Source organism: Homo sapiens, chromosome 11 (assembly GCF_000001405.40).
Source record: "Homo sapiens chromosome 11, GRCh38.p14 Primary Assembly".
NCBI classification, from domain to species: Eukaryota; Metazoa; Chordata; class Mammalia; order Primates; family Hominidae; genus Homo; species Homo sapiens.
In genome coordinates, this window is record NC_000011.10 from 75,154,200 (window position 1) to 75,180,490 (window position 26,291).

General features: G+C 50.6%; 1 protein-coding gene across 6 annotated transcripts in view; it reads left to right on the plus strand.

Moving 5' to 3' along the window:
* SLCO2B1 (solute carrier organic anion transporter family member 2B1) overlaps positions 1-26,291 on the plus strand; it is a 55,443-nt gene that overhangs the window by 3,093 nt on the left and 26,059 nt on the right. Inside the window, exons 1-7 of one of the 6 annotated variants that reach the window (XM_017017157.2) lie at positions 1,846-2,916; positions 8,456-8,586; positions 9,764-9,901; positions 11,588-11,750; positions 14,974-15,207; positions 15,467-15,565; positions 18,180-18,370. In XM_017017157.2, coding sequence (XP_016872646.2) covers positions 2,829-2,916; positions 8,456-8,586; positions 9,764-9,901; positions 11,588-11,750; positions 14,974-15,207; positions 15,467-15,565; positions 18,180-18,370 — 1,044 coding nt within the window. In that variant the 5' untranslated portion in view covers positions 1,846-2,828. Of the gene's footprint in view, positions 1-1,845; positions 2,917-5,632; positions 5,731-8,455; positions 8,587-9,763; positions 9,902-11,587; positions 11,751-14,973; positions 15,208-15,466; positions 15,566-18,179; positions 18,371-26,291 lie in introns of those variants that run through there. The other 5 variants (XM_047426333.1, NM_001145211.3, XM_047426334.1 and 2 more) reach the window with 5 other exon arrangements.

A 26,291-nucleotide genomic window follows, 5' to 3' on the forward strand; every position in this document is an offset into this window, starting at 1 on the left:
AGGCATGAACCACCGCGCCTGACCATGTGCAGCACTTTTATGATGACAAAGCACTCTGGGCCCATTTTCCAAATGAGGGACAGGAGTTCGAGACCAGCCTGACCAACATGGTGAAACACCCCCATCTCTACTAAAAAAAAAATACAAAAAATTAGCTGTGTGTGGTGGCACATGCCTGTAATCCCAGCTATTCTGGAGGCTGAGGCAGGAGAATTGCTTGAACCTGGGAGGCAGAGGCTGCAGTGAGCCGAGATTGCACCATTGCACTCCAGCCTGGGCAACAAGAGTGAGACTCCATCTCAAAAACAACAACAACAACAACAAATGAGGAAATAAAAGCTAGGAGGAGTTCTGTTACCTGCCCAAGGCCATGCAGCTACTCAGCAACAGAACTGGGGCTCAAACTTGAGCCCTCCACTGGTAACAGAGCCCTTCCTGGCCTCCTCTTCCCCTCTTTCTGGACAAATCTGTACTGAAGGCTCCAATGTTCCCAGCCTGTGCCTGGTGAACACAGGCCTGAGGGAGCTGGCTCTGCAGGAAGCCTGCCCTGACCCCAGGGTCTCTGGTGCCAAAACAGCCTGAAGACGGTCATTTGGGTCACTTTGTGTTTGGAGCACTACAGCTTCATGATCCGAGTGAGATGGGATAACATGGACCCCTTAAGGGGTCAATTTAAGCAGAGAGAGAGATTAGCTGGGACCACATGGAGGGAACAGAGCATGGCCTTGAGCCATAGCTGCCTATCTCTGAGCCTCTGGCTCCTTGTTTTAGGCATAGAGAGACTCTCCCTCCAGGCCCTAGTTGCTATTTTTTAGGTCATCCTGGGTCTAGATGGGGTAGCCAGGGTTACAACTGGGAACAGGAAGTCTCAGCTCAGGGTCCCTGACTGAGCTGGGAAACCACCAGAAAGTTTGCCTGGCCCCTCCGCAAACCTGCCAGATCTCCTTCAAGAAACAACAGCTGGAGTCTCACAAAGCTGGACCTCAAGCATGCTATTGTCCTCCCAGCAGACCACCCAAGGTCCTGCTGGGAGGAATTTCCCAAATATGACAGCCAAGCCCAATGCCTGGAGACATGCCCCCTTCCTGCCTTTGACTCTCTCTCCTCCAGAATGCTGGGCCAGGCCGAACAAGGAACTGGAGCATTCAGGGCCCTTATGCTGCCCCCATCCCAACTCATGCACACCACCGCAGTCCCCACCCACAGACCCCGTGCTCCAGCCTTCTCTTCCCCTTCATTTAGTTTAGTTCAATTCAACAATCTTGTTCTTTTATTGAGACGGAGTTTCACTCTTGTTGCCTAGGCTGGAGTGCAATGGCACAATCTCGGCTCACTGCACCCTCGGCCTCCCAGATTCCAGCAATTCTCATACCTCAACCTCCCAAGTAGCGGGGATTACAGGCACATGCCACCATGCCCGGCTAATTTTGGTATTTTTAGTAGAGACAGAGTTTCACCATGTTGGCCAGGCTGGTTTCGAGCTCCTGACCTCAGGTGATCCGCCTGCTTCAGCCTCCCAAAGTGCTGAGATTACAGGTGTGAGCCACCACGAGGCCAGGCGTGAGCCAGGCCTCGAAAGATAAGTGGTTTGCTGGGGAAGAAGAACACTCCACGCTGAGGGGGTACAGCTGGTACAAAGGCTTTGAGGTGGAAAAGAACATGATGAATTTGGGGAATGGCAAGAATCTATTGGAGCCAGGGAATAATGCTCACTAGGGTGGGGGGTACGTGGGATGGGACTGGCTTCCACTAGCCTTGACCTCCTTGGGACTGAGCCTGTACTCACGGTTTGCAGACGCAGCTGGGAGTTGGGGAGGGGCTAACCATTGTTGAGGACCACAGTATACCAGGCATAGGACATTTTCCTTTAATCCTAATAAAAACACTGGGAGATAGACACTGCTCACTCACTTACAGAGAAGAAAACAGGCTTAGAGAGGCTAAATCAGATGTCTTAGGTCACATAGCTACGATATGACAAAACAAATATTTGAATCCAAAGTCTTCTCACCCAGAGGCTTTCAGCAGGGAACTAACATGATCCACCAGGACTGGGGGAGTACAAGACAACCTCTGCCCTGGGGGAGTTTATTGCCTAGTCAGGCAGATAAGAGGGAAACATAAGTAATGCAAGAGAGTGACCGGCAGAAATTGGCCTGGGAGTGGGGTTTTATGGAGGGAGAGATGAGAGATGAGCTGGGCTGCAGGAGCTTGGCAGGGGGATCTGCAGGCCCAGGGAACCCCAAGCAACTTTAGGAGGTAGGAAGGGCCCAAGGCAGGGGCTTGTGGCCTTGAAGTTGTCTGCCTCCCACCCCAACACCTCTGGAGGGAGGTGTCTGCCATTATCATGAGGAATGGATTGCCCAGCATCTGCTGCTGATGTTACCAGAAAGGGGTCTGGATCCAGACCCCAAGAGAGGGCTCTTGGATCTCGTGCAAGAAAGAATTCAGTGTGAGTCTGTAAAGTGAAAGCAAGTTTATTAGGAAAGTAAAGGAATAAAAGAATGGCTACTCCATAGGCAGAGCAGCCCCGAGGGCTGCTTATTGCCCATTTTTATGGTTATTTCATGATGATATGCTAAACAAGGGGTGGATTATTCATGCCTCCCTTTTAGACCATATAGGGTAACTTCCTGACATTGCCATGGCATTTGTAAACTGTCATGGTGCTGGTGGGAGTGTAGCAGTGAGGACAACCAGAGGGCATTCTCATCGCCATCTTGGCATTGGTGGGATTTAGCCGGCTTCTTTACTGCAAGCTGTTTTATCAGCAAGGTCATTATGATCTGTACCCTGTGCTGACCTCCTATCTCATTCTGTGACCTGGAATGCCTAACTCTTTGGGAATGCAGCTCAGTAGGTCTCAACCTTATTTTACCCAATCCCTACTCAAGATGAAGATGGAGATGGAGATGGGTAAGAATCTCAATTCAATGGTTTTGAATTTTGTGGGGAGAGAGTCTGAGAATCTGATGGCCACAGCCTCTTCCCTTGAAGGGCTGATCCATCTTTCAGGAAGTTTCTCTAAAGAACAATCAAACCATTTGCTTTGGACGGACAGTCTAGGAAGAGGAAAAATATTGCTAATGAAGACAGTGAAATAGCAAATACCATCATGTGAATGTTGACGGTAAGGTACAGTTTGAGTTTTTTAGCTGTCAGGCTGAATGTGGGGATAGATGGCTTTCATCCTCAGGAGATGCTTTCTGCACCAGGAAGGAGGGATTACAGTCTCTGCATGGTAGCTGGGGGCTTCAAGCCTGTATCACTGCCTCCTAGCCCAGAGAGGGAGAGAGATGATCCAGAGATGGATGAATGGCGATGTCAGGATGGAGGGGTTTACCTGGAGGAAGACCAGGTGTGTATGGAAGGGGATGGATCCAGCTGGGCCCGATTGCCTCAGATGTGCTTGAATATTTATCAGGAAAAGAGAGCAAGGGCCACCTATATGCCAGGCCAGCTGCCCCAAAGGCCTTACCTCTTTGAGGTCGTATAGAGGAGAAGAGATTTCTTGTCCTCACTCTTTGCTAGGCTGGTGGCTGAGGTCCCTATAACAAAAGACAGCTTAACAGGAGAAAAGCATACAAATTTATTTGGCTTTTAAAAATTTAATTTACTTATTATTATTTTTACATAGAGATGGGGTATCACCATGTCACCCAGGCTACTCTGGAACTACTGGGCTTGGTAATTCTCCCACCTCGGCCTCCCAAAGTGTTGGAATTACAGGCGTGAGCCACTGCGCCTGGCCCAAATTTATTTAATATAAGTTTTACATGACACAGGGGCCTTCAGAAATGAAGACCCAAAGAAATGGGAAAACGTGTGTATTCTTAAACTTTTTAGTTTTTATTATATTGAATTAAATTAAATTATTTATTTATTTATTTTTTGAGACAGGGTCTCACGCTGTCGCCCAGGCTGGAGTGCAGTGGCATGATCTCGGCTCACTGCAACCTCTGACTCCCAGGCTCAAGTGATCCTCTTGCCTCGGCCTCCCGAGTAGCTGGGATTACAGGCATGCACCACCACACCTGGCTAATTTTTTGCATTTGTAGTACAGATGAGGTTTCACCATGTTGCCCAGGCTGGTTTATTATTTTTTAATCATCTAGCCTAAAATGTCAAAAACTTGTGACTTTTTATGCCAAGTTTGATGAAGAAGTATATAGTTGTGGAAGTATTGCACAAAGAGTGTGTGAGCTAATGGTGATACACTTAGGGGAACCTAGCAAGGCCTGTTTGTTCAGATTCTTCTCTGTGTCCTTGCATCTTCAAAGTTAAGGCTGTTTTTTTTTTCTCCAGGTACAAAGACAGCAACTCTCAAATGAGAATCTTATGACCTATTTCAGGGTGAAAGGTGGGAGAAGGTCAGAGTGGGGTGACTATCCTAGGTTTTATGACCTGCTTCTACTGTTTTCTCAAATGTGGCCAAGGTGCCATATTTGGAGAATAGTGTGTCCTGAATTCCATCAGTAAATACTGTTATATTCACCTTACAAATGGGGAAACTGAGGCTCAGAAAGCTCAGGGATGTGCCCAGGCTCACACAGTGGGCTTGTAGCACATCTGGGATTCCAACCCAGGTCTGAGGCCTTAAAGCCTATTCTCAGCCTCACATTTCCCTGAGATCTGTCCTTTGCTGCTGGGAGGCAGCCAAAGGAGGCAGAATCCTGGGCCTTTCCCACAGAGAACAGGTAAAGGAAGGCGGTCCTTGCAGTCAGGCTGGTCTCTGAAACCTTGCTCCTCATCACCCAGACTCAGGTGGTGTGGAGAAGGCTGACTCTACCCATGAAGGGCAGCCCCTTGAAGGGTGAGTCTCTGACTGACCAGATACCTGGGAAACGAAGTTTGTGGCTGACAGACTTTCAGGAACTTGTCTGACTGTCTTATGAGGAGCTGCAGGCAGGTGGCTGACTGACGGCCTGAACGGACAGCTCTCCTGAAAGACAGTAGCCCGCCGGCTGGCTGGCTTACCAGCAGGTGGACACGATGTGCCTGCATGAGTGATCAGCCAAGTGACCGACTGACAGTCAGACACACAGACCCATTGCGGGCCAGCTCGGGCTGTGGGTCCCTAGCCCCTGGAGCCACCTGGCCTACCTGGGACCCCAAAACTTAGCTGCCCACCTGGGAGAGAGAGGGACTGGGTTTTTTAAACTAGGGCCTGGCTCTCTGCCCCAGGTCCCTTCATTCCCGCAGGCAACCGCCTGCCCAGCCCAGGTTCAGTCCCATGGCCGTCCCATCCTCCTGTCAGGGGTGGCCCCTGACAAAGGCCCCACAGCACAGGGCAGGGTCTCAGTGCCCTTCCACAGGAGGACACGCAGTCCTGGACTGGACCATCCTTCCAAGGGGAGTTCCGCCCTGAGTCAGGGAGGCGAAGGTTTGCTGTCAGCGCGTCAGCAGAGACCCCAGCCCACAGGAAAGGCTCGGAGGGGGTGGGCAGCCTGCCTGACAAGCCCCATTCAGTGACCAGCTGACCCCCAATACATGACTCGTGCTCCTCTCAGAACCCGGAGGAATGTGGCCAGTGCTTCCCTCCCCTGCCCAGAGGCACAGGCTGTGGACTTTGCCCTCCACAAACAGCCATATCTCTAAAGGATAAAGTACTCCCAGGAAGGCTTTGAGCCTTGGCAGAAAAGGCTGGGATTGAAGCTTCAGGGAGAGCCAGAGGTGAGGCTGGAGTGGGAGATCACCTGAGGCAGGTGAGCAGGCTCCATGAGTGGGCAGGTGAGAGGCCAGGGGGCTGGAACTGGGGCTAGACAGGCTGGGGCACAGCAAGGATGCCACCAGTATACCCAGGAAGCTAAGTGGAGGGTCCAGGGTCTGGCCTGGAGGCGGGGGCCTCACATTCTGAGCTGGCCCACAGGCTTCCACCCCTCTCCCCCATCCATTCCTTGGGTTTCCTTCAGAGCTGGGGCTCCAGGTCAAGGACTTCTGCTCCCAGCCTCAGCTCCCGCTCTCTCACCTGGTTGGCTTGGCCCCTTGGTGGACTGGCACTGCTACCTATGAAGTGACTTGGCTAGGTTTGGGTGGGCCAAGACAGAGAAAAGCACTGTGCTTCTTCCCCCTGTCAAACTTGTACAAGGAGCATTGAGTGATGTTGAGTTTAACACTTACCTGGGCTTGAGTCCTGGGACCAATGCTAACCAGCAAAGCTAGTTCCTCTGAGCCTGGGTGTCCTTATCAGAAGCATAGAGATAATAAGACACCAAAGGGACGGAGCTGTGGAGAGGGTTCATGGGCCAGTGCACAGAAAGCCTGTGGCATGGAGCCCAGACTACAGCAGGAAACCCACTGCGGCTGGTGAGAGGAGCTGAGGCTCAGAAATGGTCCCCTCCACCTCCTCTGGGAGCCTTTGCTTTGAACTGCCTTATTTCCTCCTTGCCTTTAAAGTGACTCCCACTGAGTGTCCCATGACACTCCTCTTCCCTAGGCCAATTTCCCGTCTCCTCGTCAGGTGTCAGTTTTGTTTCAACAGTTCCTTGCTTCCTCTGAGTGTTTATGCCCCGCAGAGGGACTCCTCCCTAGCCACACGCACTTCCATTTCCTCAGCCAAATTCCTCAACCTGTTTGTATAGACATTTCTCCAAAGCAAGATATACAAATGGCAGTAGGCACATGAAAAGATGCTCAATATCATTAGTCATTAGAAAAATGCAAACCAAAACCACACTGAGATACCACCTCTACCCTATGAGGATGGCTATAATTGAAAAGGCAGACAATGAAAGTATTAGCAAAGATGTAGAGAAATTGGGACATTGCTGGAGGGAGTGTAAAATGGTGTTGCCACTGTGGAAAATGGTTTGGCAGTTCCTCACATGGTTAAACATAGCATTATTGTATATGAACATATGACCCAGCAATTCCGCTCCTAGGTGTACACCCAAGAGAATTGAAAATGTATGTCTCCATACAAATTTGTACATGAATGCTTCTAATACCTAAGACTTGAAAACATTATGCTAAGTGAAAGAAGCCAGTCACAAAAGGCCACATATTGTGTGATTTCATTTATATGAAATGTTCAGAATATAGGCAGATTCATAGAGACAAATAGTAGATGAGTGTTTGTCAGGGAAGAGGGAGGAATGGAGGGTGACTACAGATGGGTACGGGACTTCTTATGAGTGAATGAAAATATTCTGGAATTAGATAGTGGAGATAGTTGTATGGCTTTGTAAATGTACTAAAACCCACTGGATTGTGCACTTTTAAAAGGGTGGATTTTATGGCTATGAATTACATCTCAATTTTAAAAATCATCAGGCTCCCAGGTACCTTGTAAGAGGAGCACAAAAACTTCACCTGTGGTGGTTCAGGGCCTCCGTAGCCCCCTCCCTGAGTTTGTCTTTAGCCCTGGAGATAGAGTGAGAGTCCCCCAGATCAGAGGAATCCTGAGGTCAATTTTCAGGCTCCAGAAAGCATGCTGAGTGAAAGGAAACTCCTGCCGGTGGTGAGAGGGACATGAAACAATGGAGGCTTCCGGCAGGAAGTGGAGCCGCAGAAGGGGAGGAAGACCAAGGAGGCCTGGGCTGCCAGGAGGAGCAGGTGGTTTCAGTCTAAATAGAGGGGTGGAGTCTCAAGGTTGGACTTCTGGGCTCCCCACTGAGAGTGAGCTCAGGAGACCCTGGGAAATGCCTCTGAAGGGGCTCAGCTTTCCTCTCATTGCAGTGAGTGAGATACTGATGGTTACCATAGTTACCATGTGAGGAAAGCCAACATGCATAAGGGAGGCCAAGGGTCCAAGACAGCTCTGTGTCCTCAGTTATCACCCCATGGGCCTCTGTCCACAAGAGTGTTAAGTGAGACGAGCTCAGAGGGCCCTTTCTGCCCTGACCAGCAACATGGTCTGATGGTGTGATTTGGGGATTGGCTGGTTAGCTCTGTGATGACATGCACAGGGGTTCCCTGTGCAGGGGTTGAAATCTACTCCAATACACCCCAGAAAAGCCTTTATTCCCTGACTATGGACCTAGCCTTGACCCTGCACCTGCCCCAGATCTCTGATCCTAGACTGAGCCAGACAGTCCCAGGCCCAGACTCAGTCTCCAAGAGCACAGGATGTCTCACAACCCAAGGCAGGCTGAGAGTCTTCACGGCTTACCCTACTGCTGGGGCCACTACCTGCAGGTGTGTTGTGTAGAGAGGTCAGCAGCTTCTCCCTAGAAGGGAAGTTTTTCTGGGAGCAGAGTGAAGTGTGAAATAGGTACCCAGTAGGTATTTGATCAGTAGGGGCACAGGGATACACACCCTTTTAGGAAAGTCCCTTCCAGAACTGTGACCTAAGAATGAGGAAGGCTGAAGGTGATTTGATTCTCAGATTCTCATCAACCACTAAGAACTCTTCTTCCTGAAAGACCTTGGTTCTGAGGTCTAGGGCTATCTAATCAGGTCAGGGCCATTCTCGGGGATTCTATCTATTCTCTTTCCCTGGTTTTCTGTCCCTCAGGGCCAGCGGGTGAGGTACCCCAGGTACCAGACAAGGAAACCAAAGCCACAATGGGCACAGAAAACACACCTGGAGGCAAAGCCAGCCCAGACCCTCAGGACGTGCGGCCAAGTGTGTTCCATAACATCAAGGTACCTCTCAGGGCCTGGCAGGGGCCTCCGAGTCTAGAAGAGCAGGCTCTGCCACGTGCTGGTGGTGTAATGCCAAGGAAGACTTTCTCTGAGCCTCGGTTTCCTCATCTATAGAATGTGTGGCTGTGAGGATCAAAGGGATGATCTGCGAAAGCACTCAGCTGGGTTTCGGGCACATGGAAGGTGGCCAGTACATGTTCGCTCCTCCCAGAGAGGAAAGGGGTGTTCTTGGAGTAGTACAGGATGAGGCACCCCTTGTTTCCCACTTTCCCAGAGAAACAGAGAAGTGCCCTGGGGATCCCGAACCTATGTGGATACTGGGAGTCCTAGCTCCACCAAGGGCAGCTGTGAACATCCAACGTCCACTGGAGCCCACTGGGTGCCAGGCGCTGTGCCAGGTGCCACTCACACGTGATCTTATTTAGTTCTCACAATATCCCTGGGAACTCGGGCTGTTGTCCTCATTGTACAGATGAGGAAACTGAGACTCAGAACAGAGTGAATATATTAAGCTCTGTCATAAATACTCTATTTTTTAATCCTTTGAAGTTTTTCTTCTCTTAGGAATTCTCTTAGAGTTTCAGGAGGAGACTCCAGGCAGGTTGCGATGTTTGGGGTGGGGTTCAGTGTGTGCAGGTGGCCTCACAGTGCCACTCTGGGAGAGGACTAGTGGGGGTGGGATGGAGAAGGATCTGGGTGAATCTGAGATAGCTTCCCTGAGAGAGGGGCAGGATGGTGGAACTGGGAGGAAAGTCCAGCCCAGCCAAGGGGGGCTCTGAGAGTCAGAGGGGCTCCCACCATTCCTGGCCATGGGAAGACCCTACTCTCGGTCTTGTGGCTCTTCAATAGCCCCCAGGCTCCTGGAGTGTACCCAGGATAGCTTTTCTAGTTTTTAGTCCTGTGTGAGAAGCTGTGAGTTACACCAGTAACCATCTCTCTCTGCCCCCTACCTCCTCTGGCCTTTCTTCCCTTTCTCTCTTTCTCTCCCCTCCCTCCTCCTCTCCCTGTCTCCTTTGGTCTCTCTCTGTCTCTCTTCTGTTGGTCACTCTCCCGCCCTCTGTCTCTTTCTGTGACTCTGTTTCCCCATCTCTACTCCTTGCTGCTCCCTCTGCCTCCTTCTGCCTCTTTGTCTCCCCCTGCACCGCCCACCTCTGCCTGCCTCCGGGTCCCCCCACAGCTGTTCGTTCTGTGCCACAGCCTGCTGCAGCTGGCGCAGCTCATGATCTCCGGCTACCTAAAGAGCTCCATCTCCACAGTGGAGAAGCGCTTCGGCCTCTCCAGCCAGACGTCGGGGCTGCTGGCCTCCTTCAACGAGGTACAGGCCCCACCCAGCCACAGGGGTGGACACTGAGGGAGGCTTGCACCGCACCTTCCACCAGCCTCCCCTCTCACTACCCTACCTTAAGGCCTTCCCCTCCCAGTGCCCTCAGGCAACCCCTGTCCCAGCGCCTGCCTGAAACCTCAGAGCGTTTGCAGCTGTCTTCTAGGACTTGGACTTGGCTGTCTCCCCTTGGGAACCTCTAATGGGTCGGGTCCTGGAATATTTCGGAGCTAGCCAGGGTCCCCATATCCACCCACTCCCACTTTGTGTCCTTTACCTTTTCAGGCACCCAACTATTGCCTGTCCCAGGAAGGAATCAAAGAAAGCCACTTCAACAGTAGTGAGAGAGGCTTAAATCGCATCAAGAGCAGAACCTCTGGGCCTTGGGATGGTCGCGGGAGGGATACCGCGGCGCAGGGTGTCTGTCCTTAGAACTGCCTGGGGATTCACAGGCCTGTGGGGCCCGCAGCCAAGCAGGGAGGAGCAGATGAGCTGCTTTGGGTGGATTTGGAGATCAGAGTCCAGCTGTGCCCCAGTCCTTCAGTCCTTCCCCCGCCAGATGTTTTTACCCTGAAGGAAGTTGTCTTTCTCCCCTGTCCCCAGGGCAGAGTCCCATGAAATTCTCCCCCCTTGGTAATGTGTCATATTTCTCACAACCCAAGGCCGTCCAGCTGCAGTGTCCCCAGATCCTCCTCAGCACCCGCCTCATAGGTGGGAGGGGAAAGTCCTTACTTTGCTCTGGGAGTTTGGGCAAGTCACTCCCCTGTCTCTGGGCCTCAGGGCCCTATCTATGAATACGGCCACTATGGAGTGTGGCTGTCCTTTCCAGGGTCAGCCATCCCCTGGCTCCCCTGCTGATACTGATCCACTCCCCCAGCGAGGAGTGTCTGGGACTCACCCAAGGTCACCAATCAATAAGCAGCAGAGCCAATGCACCCCCTGCTCATGGTGGCAGAGACTGTCCCTGCCCTGCATGCACTGAAGTCACCTCCTGAACTCACATCCTAGGATTGTGATCCTAAGGCTCAAAAGGTCAAGCCTTGGGCCAGGCACGGTGGCTCATGCCTGTAATCCCAGCACTTTGGGAGGCTGAGGTGGGTGGATCACTTGAGGTCAGGAGTTTGAGACCTGCCTGGCCGACATGGTGAAACCCCGTCTCTACTAAAAATGCAAAAATTAGCTGAGCATGGTGGCGCATGCCTGTAATCTCAGCTACTTGGGAGGCTGAGGCAGGAGAATTGCTCGAACCTGGGAGGAAGAGGTTGCAGTGAGCTGAGATCACACCATTGCACTCCAGCCAGGGCGATGAGAGAAATTCCGTCTCAAAAAAAAAAAAAAAAAATTCAAGCCTTGACCTGGCTTTAGACTTTGTTTATGACATTCCTGAAACTCGAAACCCCTTCATTTGATGGCCCATCCTTCCCCATGTTCTAACATGGGGTCCAATCTGTGTTCAAAAATGGAATTGAACTCCTAGCTTTCTCCACTCTGCCCTCATTTCTCTCCCCTAAGGGGGCCGTGCGGCCCTTCCGAGGGGGACCCAGGAGAGGGACCCAGATGATTTTTATTCAGTCCATTATTCAGATGGGCATACGGAAGTTAGACATAGAGACAAGGATAGTGCAGGCCCCCAGCCCTGGGAACTGTTCCACCTTAATGGGTCACCTCGTCCTTTTGCAGGTGGGGAACACAGCCTTGATTGTGTTTGTGAGCTATTTTGGCAGCCGGGTGCACCGACCCCGAATGATTGGCTATGGGGCTATCCTTGTGGCCCTGGCGGGCCTGCTCATGACTCTCCCGCACTTCATCTCGGAGCCATACCGCTACGACAACACCAGCCCTGGTAAGAGCAGCAGGGGCTGGGCAGGAGTGGGACGTTAGCCTCTGCATTGCTTTGCGCTGGGGCCCACCCCACAGGCATTCATCTGGCAGGATACACCCCAAAACCTCAACACCCCAGGACAGCTGCTAGTCCCCCCCCAACCTGGCTCCCCAGGCCCCAGCCCAGGTGGGTCTCTGGCAGACCTGGGGAGTGCGGTAGGAAGTAGGCCCTGCGCATAGGGGTGAGGGCCTGCTTGTATGTCACTGTGGGTTTTTTTAGGTGGGGGTGAATTTACAACACAGCCTACTTTGAGGGCCTGGCATGCAGTAGACCCTCCGGAATTGCGTGTGTAATAATAATAGTGTCATACACTACTTACTATGCACCAGACACTGCTCTAAGCACTTAATGTGTAGTCACGCATTTAATCCTCATAAAAGACATTGGGAAAAGAAAGAATGAATGAGTGAATGAACAAATTTAAAAAATGAAAGAATTCTGGACAGGAATGGTGAAGCCATGTTCAGCCCAGTGGGATTTTGTTGAGGCCCTACTTGACAAATGGATGTCTCTTACAGAATGACCCTAACAACCTGATCGTTCACTTTATTCCTTCCCTCTCCTACCCACTCACCCACCCACCCACTCACCCATCTGTCCATCCACCCATTCATCCATCATCTATCCACCCATCGATCCATCCACCTACTACTCATCCATCTATTTATCTATTCATCCATCCAATGGGACACGCAACAAACTCTTAATGCTGCCTACTTCGTGCCTGAGCCTCTCAGGGGAATCAGTCCTTTTTACTCTAGGGAGCTCCCAGCCTGGGAGAGGAGACAGATAAAACAAAAAACAATTGTGTGAGGAGGGAAGCACAGGGGTGGGAGGAGCCCACACCCCAGCCTGGCATGGAGGAAGCCTTTCTAGGGGAAGAAGACTGTCAGAGAGCAGGTTTCCTCCCTCCTCCTCCCACCAGCTCACACCTCTGAAGTCCCACTCTGTACCAGACCAGAGGCCAGGGATAGGGGAGAGAAGATGAAGCAGACATGACCCAGTGGGGCGCAGGGTTGGCGTGAGCACGGGCAACTCTGCTACAAGGTATAGAGCCCAGCACCTTGGGAGGTGGCCAGAGGAGGCCATTAGAGCCCTGAATAGGGGAAGGACCTTGGCAGCTGGAGGGAGCTGGAGGGGCTAGAGGAGGTGGCACTTGAGCTGCAGCTTAGAGAGAAGGTGGGAGTTGCAGGTGGAGGGGAGGGCATGGGTGCAGAGGCAGGAAAATGGGAAAACTCAGCGCGTGCATGAAGAATGCAGAGTCGTTCTCTAGGCCTGCGTGGAAACTTGTCAAGAGAACTGCTTGGAATACCAGAAAATAATACTTCCTCACATTTCTTTGTACAGAATTTTCACTTTACATTTTCACTTTTTCTGTGCAAGGTCATGCATGTTCTTCATCCTTACTACCATACAAACCCCTCTGCAATAGGTGCCCCTGAATCCTCAAGCAAAGCCCTTCTGTCTGAGCCTCCGTCTTTACATCAGCCCAAAGAATGGGAGAGACTCGGGGATCTCCAAACTCCCCTCCTGTTCTGACTCTCCAGGCTATTCCACTCACTTATTCTTCATCCAATACTGATGAAGTTGTGTTCTGTGCCAGGCCCTCTGCAGGGCACTGGGGACACAGGGATGGGGAAGGCAGACATGACCTCTCTAATAATTGTTGCATCTAACGTCTAGTAGGCCCCATGCCCAGGCACACTCACCACCCACCACTCTTAATGTTCACGACTCCAGGAGGCAGGGATTATCATTACTTCCTCACAAGTGAGGAAACCAAGGCTCAGAGAGGGGAGGAACTGCCCCAAGGACACACCCAGGTAGCCCTGCCTTAGCTGCTGTTCTGAACTGCCGAATTCTTCCACTTCTGAATTCCTTATCTGGAGAACTTTGTTCTTTCTTTCTTTTTTTTTTTTTTTTGAGATGGAGTATCACTCTGTCACCTAGGCTGGAGTGCAGTGGCTTGAACTTGGCTCACTGCAACCCCTGCCTCCCAGGTTCAAGCAATTCTCCTGCCTCAGCCTCCTGAGTAGCTGGGATTACAGGCATGTGCCACCACTCCCGGCTAATTTTTGTATTTTAGTAGCGATGGGATTTCTCCATGTTGGCCAGCCTGGTCTCAAACTCCTGATCTCAGGTGATCCACCCTGCTCGGCCTCCCAAAGTGCTGGGATTACAGGCATGAGCCACAGCGCCTGGCCAAATTTTGTTCTTTCTTTCATTTGAAAGATGAAGAAACCAAGGCCCAGAGTGGGTAAGGGCCTCTGTCAAAGTCACACAGCAAGTCCCAGGCAGCCTCCGTGGAAGGCTTCTTTCACGTTCTTGACCTTGGTTCACATGGCTCTTTGCAGCCCAAGGGAGTGGCTCTCCGTGCTGGGTTGACACAGCTCAGAGTCCCAGCTCCATAAATGGAGGGCCGCAGAGAGAAGGCTGCTTCTACAGCCACATTTGGGATAATAATAGTGTGAGGGTCTCCTCAAGTTTGCTCACCAAATATTGGTGAGCTCCAGGGAACAAATGTCAGGTACTAAATTAAGAAATTCTTTTCTGTACTCTGCATCTGTGTCCCAAGCTGACACTGAACCCTCCCCCAAAGTGAATGCCAAGGGCCCCAGGGCCCTCCACAATCCAGCCCCAGCTGCCCCACCCTGTTCCACTGTGCCTTCAGCCCTGGCCTTGCCCTCATACTTTGTGATCTAGCCATTCTGAGCTTCTCATTCTCCCGGCACGGTGCCCTTTCAAGTCCCTGGGTTTTGCGTGTACTGTGACCTCTCCCTGGAACACCCCTCCCCTCCCTCTTTTTCTGGAAAATTGTGTTTATTCTTCCGGACCCAGTTCAAACTACACCACCTTTGACCACCCCGCCCCACCCAGGGGCCACCGTTGCTATGGCACTTGCAAATGCCTCAGCTCAGAAAGGTGGTGTAGGGCAGTTTAAGAGCATGGACTCTGAAGCCAGACCTCCTGAGTTCCAATCCTGGCCCTGTCACCTTACTAGTTGCTGTCTAAGCATCAGTTTCCTCACCTATGAAACAGGCATAATGAGAGCACTCACCCTTGAGGTTTGTTGTGGGGCTCAAATTATTTTTATACACAGCACTTAGAACAGTACCTTCCCCCGGGGTAAGCGCTATTTAAGTCTTAGCTATTGTTATAATATTTTTTCATTGTCGTCTCTCAGAGGATATGCCACAGGACTTCAAGGCTTCCCTGTGCCTGCCCACAACCTCGGCCCCAGCCTCGGCCCCCTCCAATGGCAACTGCTCAAGCTACACAGAAACCCAGCATCTGAGTGTGGTGGGGATCATGTTCGTGGCACAGACCCTGCTGGGCGTGGGCGGGGTGCCCATTCAGCCCTTTGGCATCTCCTACATCGATGACTTTGCCCACAACAGCAACTCGCCCCTCTACCTCGGTGAGGACCAGTGCCATCCCTTGGCCTCTGAGGGTCAGGCCAGGCTCAACTAGGAGGAAGAGAGACCCAGGGTTGGGGCTGGAGATGGAATCCCTGCCCCCTGCCCCATCTGGCCAGTAAAGGTCCAGGGAAGCCCTGGAGAGTTCCCCATCCCTGACCAGGGGAGACAGAGTGTTCTTGCCCATCAGAGACTGGGCAAGCACTGGTCTGCAGAGGGAAGCCAGGGCCAGAGGATCCTAACTCAGGCTTTGTGTTGTAGGGATCCTGTTTGCAGTGACCATGATGGGGCCAGGCCTGGCCTTTGGGCTGGGCAGCCTCATGCTGCGCCTTTATGTGGACATTAACCAGATGCCAGAAGGTGAGCCTCAGGAGCACATGTTTGCTAGACCCTAGCTAACTGACTGCCACTCTCATAGGAGACATTGAGCCAGGGGACCTCGGTTCAAATCCTAGCAGCACCACTGACCTTGGGCAAGTCTCTTAGCCTCTCTGAACCTCAGCTTTCTCATCTGTGAGATAATCTCTGTCCTGTCTGTCTCCTAAAGCTGTGATCAGAGTCCAGCGAGATGGTGGAGATAAACTGTAAAGTGCCATCAAATTAGGAACCATGGTTGCCGTCACTACTATTACTGGGAGTCTTCGCCTTGTTCCATACCCCACCTTCAACAGGCCCTCAGCCCCCTGCTCACACATGCTGTGGGGCAGGTGGAAGAGCATACTCTCTTGCCTGTAGGGAGCCCCTGTTTTTAGGGGGAAACAAGACTTGAGTTAAACAGAGAGGACAGTGCACACTGGAGAGAACTTTTGGAGCAGAACTTGGTGACTCAAAGTATTACCCTGGGCCTCTCTCAGATGGGACATTTACTGTGACCTCTAAGAACCCTTCTAGTTCTGACCAGCTCAGAGTCTAGGAAACTGCCAGGGGCACCATTTGGGAAAGAGTAGTTTCTGGTCCAGGCAGTGGTCAGAGTGGGCCAAGGAGTGGGACTGACGCTTGGTCTGAAGGTGGCCAGGAGGGAGGGGTGTTGGGGGTTCCAGGGTTCTGGAGTCCTTGGAGAGCAGTAGCGTACTCCTGTTAGAGCACGTCACTGTGGCATCCCAGCTCCCAACTCGTCGCACCAAGCAGCTCCAGATGTGCCTCCTGCCATTCTCACCTGCAGACTTTCTGCCAGGTCCTGGGAGCCTCAGGTGACGTGTGTGTGGCTGAATGGACATGCAGACGCTGCTTCTCGTTCCCCAGCTTTTGCCCACAAGCGCCTCCAGCCAGAACAGATCTGCGCAGCTCTGAACAGCAGCCACCAGGGACAGCCCCGCCCCGCCCACTCTCCTTCTGGAAGGCTGGGTCCAGAGTGTGGGCTCTGGCTGCGACCCCTCCCTCCCCTGAAAGAAAAGTCCTGGGAGTCAGGGGTTCCCTAGATTTCCCTGACACACCTCAGCTCCATGCAAGGGGGTGTGTTTTCTGACTCTGTTGACATTGTCCAGGCAGACGGGGTATCTCCACAGGCAGATGTGACATTTCTGTGGACCGACCTGCCACCTCGAAACTCCCTTCTCCATGGGGGATTTCACAGGGTGGGCAGATCATGCTAGCTGCAGGCACAGACTGATAAGAGAGAAGCGGACGGGTTGGAGAGGTGCATGTGTGAGCTCTCACCAGCCTGACATGGAGGCAGGGGAGATAACAAGTAAGGAGAGAATCAAGTCTAATCAGCGCAAAAGCCAAACCCATCCCCGGCTTTACAGGTGCGTTTGCTAAGTGCCAACTGAGTCCTCTGGTCCCTGCCTGGGAGGAGCTTAGGATCAAGCACCAGGGGAACCAGCTCTGTGTGTGGGGTTGGTACATCAAGGAGCATTTGGTTTTTCTTGTTTTTGTTTTGAGACAGGGTCTCACTCTGCCCCTCATGCAGTGGCACAATCCTAGCTTACTGCAGCCTTGGATGCCTGGGCTCAAGCAATCTTCCCACCTCAGGCTCTTGAGTAGCTGAGACTGCAGGTGTGCACCATCACACCTGGGTAACTTTTTAATTTATTTGTAGAGACAGGGCCTCACTATGTTGCTCAGGGTGGTCTCGAACTCCTGGCCTCTAATGAGTCTTCCACCTCAGTTTCCCAAAGTGCTGGGATTACAGGCTTGAGCCACTGCACCCAGCTCATTTGTATTTTTATGAAGCATTTTTGGATGCTGTGGAAATTGAAGGAAAATGTACACAACTCAGCCTTGTGATTAAGAAGTATGACGGGAGCTTTGTGTGTTCCAGCCAGGAGGTACACCTGGGATAATCTAGTCCCAATTAAACCTAGTGGGGGATCAAAATCATCTGGGGAACTTGTTAAAGGTACGGGTTCCTTGGTCACCTTCCCACCCCACTCTGTGGTCATTCTAAGTGGGTCTTCAGTAAGGCCAGGTATTTTTTGACAAACATCCCTGGGGATATTAATCATCATGAAGGTCTGAGAAACACAACAGTAATCCTAAACATTCATTTAAGAATAATAATCACAATAGTAATGAGAAGGAGGAAGAGGAGGAGGAGGAGGAGCAGGTACCTATATGGCACACACTCTTCTAAGTGCTTCACATCTATTTCGTTAATTTTCACAACAGTCCTATGATTTGGAAGCTACTAATATCTATATTTCACAAAGGACAAAAACTGAGGCACAAAGAGGTTGTGTAGGTTGCCCAAGGTTATGAGTTAGTAATGGAATTCAGACCCAGCAGTCCGCCTCTAGAGTCCATGGCCTTGACCACTGCACTATACTGCCTTGGTAGTTGAAGAAGCCAAGGCTCGGAAAGGGCCAAGGACTTGCCCAGGGTCACACAGGACACACCTGGCAGAGCAGACTGGAACTCAGGTCTCCTGACTCCCAGCCTGGGCCACCTCATGTCTCAGAGGCCAGTCCCAGGATGGCGGCTTAGAAGTGACAGCCTATCATCCTGACCCTAATGTCACCATGCTCTTCTCTTCCAGGTGGTATCAGCCTGACCATAAAGGACCCCCGATGGGTGGGTGCCTGGTGGCTGGGTTTCCTCATCGCTGCCGGTGCAGTGGCCCTGGCTGCCATCCCCTACTTCTTCTTCCCCAAGGAAATGCCCAAGGAAAAACGTGAGCTTCAGTTTCGGCGAAAGGTCTTAGCAGTCACAGACTCACCTGCCAGGAAGGTAAGCTCCCTCCATGTCACCTGACTGGGTCCAGGCTCCAGCACCACCCACTTGTTCTCCTTTGTAACATTACACTTCGGCTGGGCGTGGTGGCTCACATCTGTAGTTCCAGCACTTTGGGAGGCCAAGGCGGTTGGATCACGAGGTCAGGAGATCGAGACCATCCTGGCTAACACGGTGAAACCCCGTCTCTACTAAAAATAGAAAAAATTAGCCGGGCATGGTGGTGGGCACCTGTAGTCCCAGCTACTCAGGAGGCTGAGGCAGAAGAATCGCTTGAACCTGGGAGGTGGAGGTTGCAGTGAGCCGAGATTGCACCACTGCACTCCAGCCTGGGCAACAAAGCAAGACTCCGTCTCAAAAAAAAAAAAAATTACACTGCATCCCCACTGGGCACTATACTTTCTGCCTGGGCTCCATCACATCTTTCTGACAGCCTTGCACAGTGAATATCACCTGCTGTCTCCACAGCTGAGGAGACCCAGAGCCAGTGTTGGAAAGTGACTTACCCAAGATCACAAAGCCAGCAAGCAAGGCAGCACTGGGATGAGAACCCGCACCTTTCTGAGCCCATGCCCCCATACTAACCACTACAATATGGCCTCTGTGCTCATCACTTAAAGTTTTTGTAAATTCTGAATGTGCCATAGGAATGTTAAGAATTGGGAGGGTGGGTAGGATCATCTGGGAAGACTTCCCTGAAGAGGAGGGATTTCAGCTGGACTTTGAAGGATTTGTGGAAGCACAGAAAGGAGAGAGCAACAGAGATTCTAGGCACAGAAGCACCCTGCATGAAGGATTTGGCTGTAGAAATAAACCTGGCCCTTTCGGGGACAGTGAAGGGAAGAAACATGCATGGAGTGCAGGCCCCAGGCTGGATCTGAAGATCAGTCCGTGGCCTCCACCCTTCCAGCGGGCACAGTCTAGGGAGGACACAGACTCACGGAGAAGTCACGACCGGTGTGATGCTCCAGGGGTATCTAGAATCCTCCTCCTCTGCTCTTGGGGCAGGTGGGTCTCTCCTCAGAAGCGGACACAGAGGCCCAGCCCAGTGGAGGGATTTGCCCAGGGTCACAAAACTGGTAGGAGAGGACAGGATCATGTGAGCCACCAGGCAGGATAGCCATTCTGGGCCAGGGACTTCCAAGTTTTTCAGATACCCACAAAAACACGAGGCCTGAAAAACAACAAATTGGCTTCAAATTAAAAAGAAAATGACAAAATAGAAACAATTTTTAAAGTTTATTTATTTATTTTTATTTTTTGAGACAGAGTCTTACCCTATTGCCCAGGCTAGATCTCGGCTCACCACAACCTCCAACTCCCAGGTTCAAGCGATTCTTCCGCCTCAGCCTCCCAAATAGCTGGGATTACAGGTGTGTGCCACCATGCCTGGCTAATTTTGTATTTTTAGTAGAGATGGCGTTTCACCATGTTGGCCAGGCTGGTCTCGAACCCCTAACCTCAGGTGATCTGCCCGCCTCAGCCTCCCAAAGTGCTGGGATTACAGGAGTGAGCCACCGTGCCAGGCCTAAAAGTTTAATTACAAGCCAGTAATGTCAAGTTCATTAATTTTTTTAATACTTATACACATTTCATTACATTCTGAAAATTTGTGCATTAGATTTCCTCCTTCTCAAGTATGGGAGGTGGCTGTTGAGAAATCATAGACAATCATAAATTAAGTAACTTACTTGTTGCTAAGTAATTCTAATTTCAAAGGGACAATTTATAAAAATCCTGTTGAATGTTTTTGCTGCAAGAGCATTTCTGTGGCAGGTTGATGCATTTGAATATGTTTGGAGAGGGTGGGGGCGGGGAGAGAAATGAGACAGCTCTGATGGTGGTCCAGGCCAGGTGGAAGCCGTGCATTGGCAGTGAGGGGATAGAGGTGCATCTGGGAGCTACCCAGGTTGGGGACTGCACATAGCTGCCCTGCTATGGGATGTCCCCAAGACAGTGATGAGTTGGGCTGATGCTGGGATTGGGTGCAGCTGTCTCAGAGGCAGGGGGAAGCAGCTGCCAGGGAGTGAGCAGTTTCAGGGGAAGAAGACAGTTTGGAACTACAGATGGGCCTTTCTGATTCTGCCTAGTTCAGGCCAAAGTTTCGAGAAGATGAAATTCCTAGAACTTAAAGGTGGAGTGATGTTTATAAAGGAAAGAGAGAGAGCCTATATTGCTGGTTACAGATGATCTCCAAATTGAGTCCTAAATTTGAACAGAGAAGAATGCCAGTTGAGCCACGGGTGGGATAGGTGACAGAAGCAAAGTTTAGGGGTGGGAGACCACGCTGGGCTCTGTCACATGCCAGTCATGTGACCTTGAGCAGCAAGCCACTTCCCCATTCTGTGCTGCTGTGTAAGATGCTGAGGTTAGGTTCCTGGAGCAATATCCTGTGCGCCTCAGATTCTGAGAATGCACGAGTCCTTGAGTCGGAGCTGCTATGATTCAGATACTCAGATTTTAAGAGCTGTGTCTCTATGATGCTTTGAAACCCTGGCTCCCCAGCTGTGAACCTGTCTGGCTGTCTGGATTCATTCTGTCAGCACACTGGGGATGGGGAGTGGGGAGGGAAGGGGGTGAGAGGTTCTTTAAAAAGAAACAAGGGCTGAGAACATGATGATCTGCTTCCAGCAGCTCTCAGGCAATAAATATTGATGTGGGAGGAATTGTTCCTCCACCTCCCTGAGGCTGCCTTGGCCGGGTCTGCTTGCAGTAACGTGGTTGGCCTGGCCCAGGAGGGCCACCAATGAGGAGTTGAATAAACCAGGAGCAAAGGCCCAATGAGGCTGAATTGGCTGCCAGAAAGTCCAGGCCCCCAGACATGGGATGTGTATCTTCTGCAGGGCGAGAGAATGGGCAAGAGGAGAAAGTGAAGGGCAGAGCTAACTCTGAAATCTCACCAGGCGTCCCCTCCCAGGCTCAGGGCTCAGGGGTCCCCTAAATACCCTCTTAGAAGTAAATGCTGTTTTTAAAGGTATCCGGGAGATTGGCAGTTTGTAATACAAGAATTATGTGCCCCCGAGAAGGTTTCTGGCCTCAGTGTCTCTATCTGTCTAATGGGCAGCAGATCAGACAAGGTCTGTCGGCTCTGACAGGTTCAAGGCCATCTCCTCTAAATGACTCACTGTCTCTGGAGAAATATGTGAGCATTTTCACAGGGGAAAAGAGGGGTGCATTCCACAGCCCCTGCCCCGAGGAGGTCTGAGAAGGTGAAGGAAGGCCAGATGCAGAGAGACAGGGAATGACAAATGACAGCTCAGATTTCTCCCATGGCCATGATTATGGGATTCTCTGCCTGGGGGGCAGGGGGCAATAGCAGTCCCCACAGAGAAGAGCAGGACATGGGATTGGGGGAGGCCATGCAGGGAATGGGAGGGGACAGGAGCCCTACTTTCTTGCCTTTGGCTCTGTCCCTGTATCTGCGGCCTCAGAGCTCAGGTGCTACCAAGAGACCCTCACAGGAGTGACCCAGGACAGGCCTCACCTCCCTCTAGGCCTCAGTCTTCCTGTCTACAATCAGCCAGTCCCCAAGGTCCTGCTAGGCCCATGGACTCCTGGCAGATGGCTCTGCAGGGTCTGTGGGGTAAAGATGGTCTCTTGAGGGCTCCCTGACAGATTCTTCGTCCCCATCTGTCCCTGTGGTAGTGGTGCTCCCATTCAGCCAGCAACTCTCCTGGGCCCGCCATGCCCTCTGGTCCTTCTGACAACCTGCCCTTGGGACTGGGTCAGGGGCTCAGAGGGGCCCAGAGAGCTACTTCCTGGCAGGCAAGCCTGTGCCATGAGGACCCCTGTCCCTCTCCAGGCTCTGAGCACCACCGGACTCTGTGACCATAGAGACCAGGAGTCTGTTTGTCTGTTATTTCTGGAATATGTCTGAGAGGTTGGGATTCTAAAATTATATGGTTTTAAAGTCTGTGTTCCTAATAGAGCTTCTCAAGTACTTACATTATGCTAAAAGTCTGTGCCTCGAATGGTCTATGACTCCCCAAATCCACATTTCTAAATGGCTGCAATTTTGGCTAAGAGTCTGTAAGCCTGTGATGTCCACTGTCTCCCAGTCGTTAACTTCCATGTTCTTCTTTGGGAGAATAGTCAGGGATGGAAGACAGGAGTGTGAGGTGGCAATGGTCCTTAAAACCCAGGACTTAGGGCTGGTCTGTAGGGATTTGCCCAGCCAGGAGGCCTCCATTTCCCTGGGACTTTGTGTCTCCGTGGCAGCATCTGTGAGTTCTGAGGTGCGCAGGCCTCCTAGTGCCCAGGGCCTCCACTTTGCAGGCACAGCGTCTAGACCCTGCTGCATCTCACTGACGGAGGGATTGGCCCATAGAGGGTTAAAGACCTGTCCAGAGGTTGGACAGCACCACGGGCCCTTGCACCTGTCTGTACAAAGCCAGGTCCTGGCGCCAGAGGGCTGAGGAAGGGCTCCCCTAGACCACCAGGTCTGCACATAGAGCTTCCTTTAACATCGACGAGGCTTGAGGCCCTGTTGGGGCAATCTGCTTGAGTGGTTTTTCGAATTGAACCCCCAGAACCCCAAGGGTACCACCATAGGGAGGAGGAGGAGGGGCATCACCGAGCAGGGCTAAGGGCCTTCCACCCCTCTACACACACACACACACACACACACTTCAGTCCAAGTAGTTCTACTATTTTGTGTTTTTATACCTGTCTAAAGACTAAATCTAAAGAATAAGATTTCAGTTGGGAAAAGGGTTCTGTTCCTAAAAACCAGCTGAGCTAGTCCAATACTGCCATTTGTCAGAGGAGGCTGAGGCTAAAGAAGGGATGAAAGGTAGCTGATCATGCCCAAGAGGCACCATGCAAGCTTCCTTGGTGTCTAAGGCATCCTGCAGTGGCAGGGACAGGGCTAGACATGGCAGGGGTTAGACACATGTCATGCTGGAGGCCTGCTGACTTCAGTAGGGATGGCACCATGCTCGAGGGGCTGAAGAAAAGACCCGGAGTGAGCAAACAAGACATAGGGTTTATTGAGGGAACTTACATACAGGGTGGTCCAGTGGTGGTGGGCTGGACAGAGAATCACTACCATTTGTAAAAACCATGCAAATTATATGGCACCCTCCACCTGGCAACCTTCACTTAACCCAAAACAAAGGGCCTTGATCCTTCATACAGCCTGTGTTTCATGGGATGAGCCAGAGGTTCAGATGTTCTTCATAAATAAGAAATGAATTTCTGGGTTGGCCACTCCCAGATTCCTTAGCTCAGAACTCCAAATGAGGCTGGGTGTGGTGGCTCACACCTGTAATCTCAGCACTTTAGGAGGCTGAGGCGGGCACATCACTTGAGGTCAGGAGTTCGAGACTGGCCTGACCAAATGGTGAAACCCGTCTCTACTAAAAATATAAAAATTAGCTGGGCATGATGGTGGGCACCTGTAGCCCCAGCTATTTGGGAGGCTGAGGCAGGAGAATCACTAGAACCTGGGAGGCAGAGGTTGCAGTGAGCCGAGATTACATCACTGCACTCCAGCCTAGACAACAGAGCAAGATTCCATCTCAAAAAAAAAAAAAAAACAAAAAACAAAACTCCAAACGCAAGTTCTGTTTAGACCAATCATTCTCAGGGTATGCTTAAGAAGCTAGTACTGTCAGGTGCGTCTACCATGCAATATGGTGGCCCCACCATACCAGCCAGGCTCTGCTACTTACTAATTCTGAAATCTGTAAAATGGGTATAACCATAACATCTGCATCTCGGGGTCTTTATAAGAATGAAGTGAGGCAAAGTGGTGAGGTGGGCAGTTCAGTGCCAAAGCGCAGGCGCAGTAAACAGGAGTGCTTGTTCTTGGCATCTTTCTCCGAGCAGGCCAGCTCTTAAGGGGAAAACTAAGAGAAAAAGTGCCTTTTTTCTAAACTTGTATGCTTTTCCTTTTTACATGTTTTTTAACTTTTTTATTTTTTAAATTTGGTTTATCAACTGACAAGTAAAAATTATATGTATTTATGGTGGAACATGATGTTTTGATCTATGTATGCATTGGGGAGTGGATAAATCAAGCTGTTTAGCACATGCCTTACCTCACTTACTTATCTTTTTGTGTGTGTGGTGAGAACACTTAAAACCTACTTTCTTAGCAATTTGCAAGTGTGCAATATATTGTTATTAACTGGACTCATCATGATGTACAATAGATTGCCTGAACTTATTTCTCCTGTCTAACTGAAATTTTGTATCCTTTGACTAACAACTTGCTCTGGTAACTTCCCTTCTGCTTTTTGCTTCTATGAGTTTGGCTTTTTTATATTTCACACCAAGGTGAGAACATGCAGTATTTGTTTTTCTGTGCCTGGCTTATTTCACTTAACATGATGTCCTTAGGTTCACCCAGGTTTTCACAATGACAGGATTTCCTTCTTTTTTAAAGCCAAATAGTATTCCATTGTGTATACATACTACATTTTCTTTATCCATTCATCCATTGATGGACTCTTTGGTTGAATCCGTATCTTGGCTACTGTGAATGGTGCTGCAATAAGCGTGAGAGTGCAGATCTCTCTCCTTTCTTTCATTTAAATACATTCTTTTATTTGAAAATTTGTGTTTTTTCATTTTCTTTTTAAAAATGTTTTCATTTTTAATTTTTATGGGTGCATAGGTGGGTATGTTTATTGGATACATGAGATTTTTTTTTTTTTTTTTTTTTTTTTTTGAGACAGAGTCTCTCTCTCTCTGTTGCCCAGGCTGGAGTACAGTGGTGCGATCTTGGCTCACTGCAACCTCCGCCTCCGGGGTTCAAGCAATTCTCCTGCCTCAGCCTTCTGAGTAGCTGGGATTACAGGTGCCCGCCACCATACCCAGCTAATTTTTGTATTTTTAGTAGAGACAGGGTTTTACCATGTTGGCCAGGCTGGTCCCCAACTCCTGACCTCAAGTGATCCACCCCCCTCAGCCTCCCAAAGTGCTGGGATTATAGGCTTGAGCCACTGTGCCCAGCCTACATGAGATATTTTGAATTGGCATACAATGTGTAATAATTATATCAGGGTAAATGGGGTATCCAACACCTCAAGAAACAAGAAAGAATTTATCATTTCTTATTTCTTTAATTTATTTTTCAATGTATAACCAATCAATAGAATGCATCATTTCTTTGTGTTTCAAATGTTCCAATTATACTCTCTTAGTTGTTGGTTTTGTTTTGTTTTGTTTTGTTTTTTTGAAACAGAGTCTCACTCTGTCACCCAGGCTGGAGTGCAGTGGCACAATCTTGGCTCACTGCAACCTCCACCTCCCGAGTTAAAGCAATTCTCCTGCGTCATCCTCCCAAGTGGCTGGGATTACAGGCTCCAGGCTCCATGTTGGCCAGGCTGGTCTTGAACTCCTGGCCTCAAGTGATCTGCCTGCCTTGGCCTCCCAAAGTGTTGGGGTTACAGGCGTGAGCCACCACACCTGGCCCTGGTCCCTCTCTTAGTTATTTTTATTTATTATTTATTTATTTTGAAATGGAGTCTCTCTCTGTCACCCAGGCTGGAGTGCAGTAGCGCAATCTTGGCTCACTGCAACCTCTGTCTCTCGGGCTCAAGTAATTTGCCTGTCTCAGCCTCCCAAGTAGCTGGAATACAGGCATGCACCACAATGCCTGGCAAATATTTGTAGTTTTAGTAGAGACGGGGTTTCGCCATGTTGGCCAGGCTGGCCTCGAACTCCTGACCTTAGATGATCCACCTGCCTCTGCCTCCCAAAGTGTCTTAGCTATTTTTAAGTGTATAATAAATCCAGCTCTGTCTCTGTTTAATATACTGATTTCATTTCCTTTGGATATATACCCAGTAGTGGATTGTTAGATCGAAGTTTCTATTTTTAACTTTTGGGGGAAACTCCATACTGTTTTCCATGATGGCTGTGCTAAATTACACCCCTACCAACAGGGTGCAAGTGTGCCCTTTTCTCCACA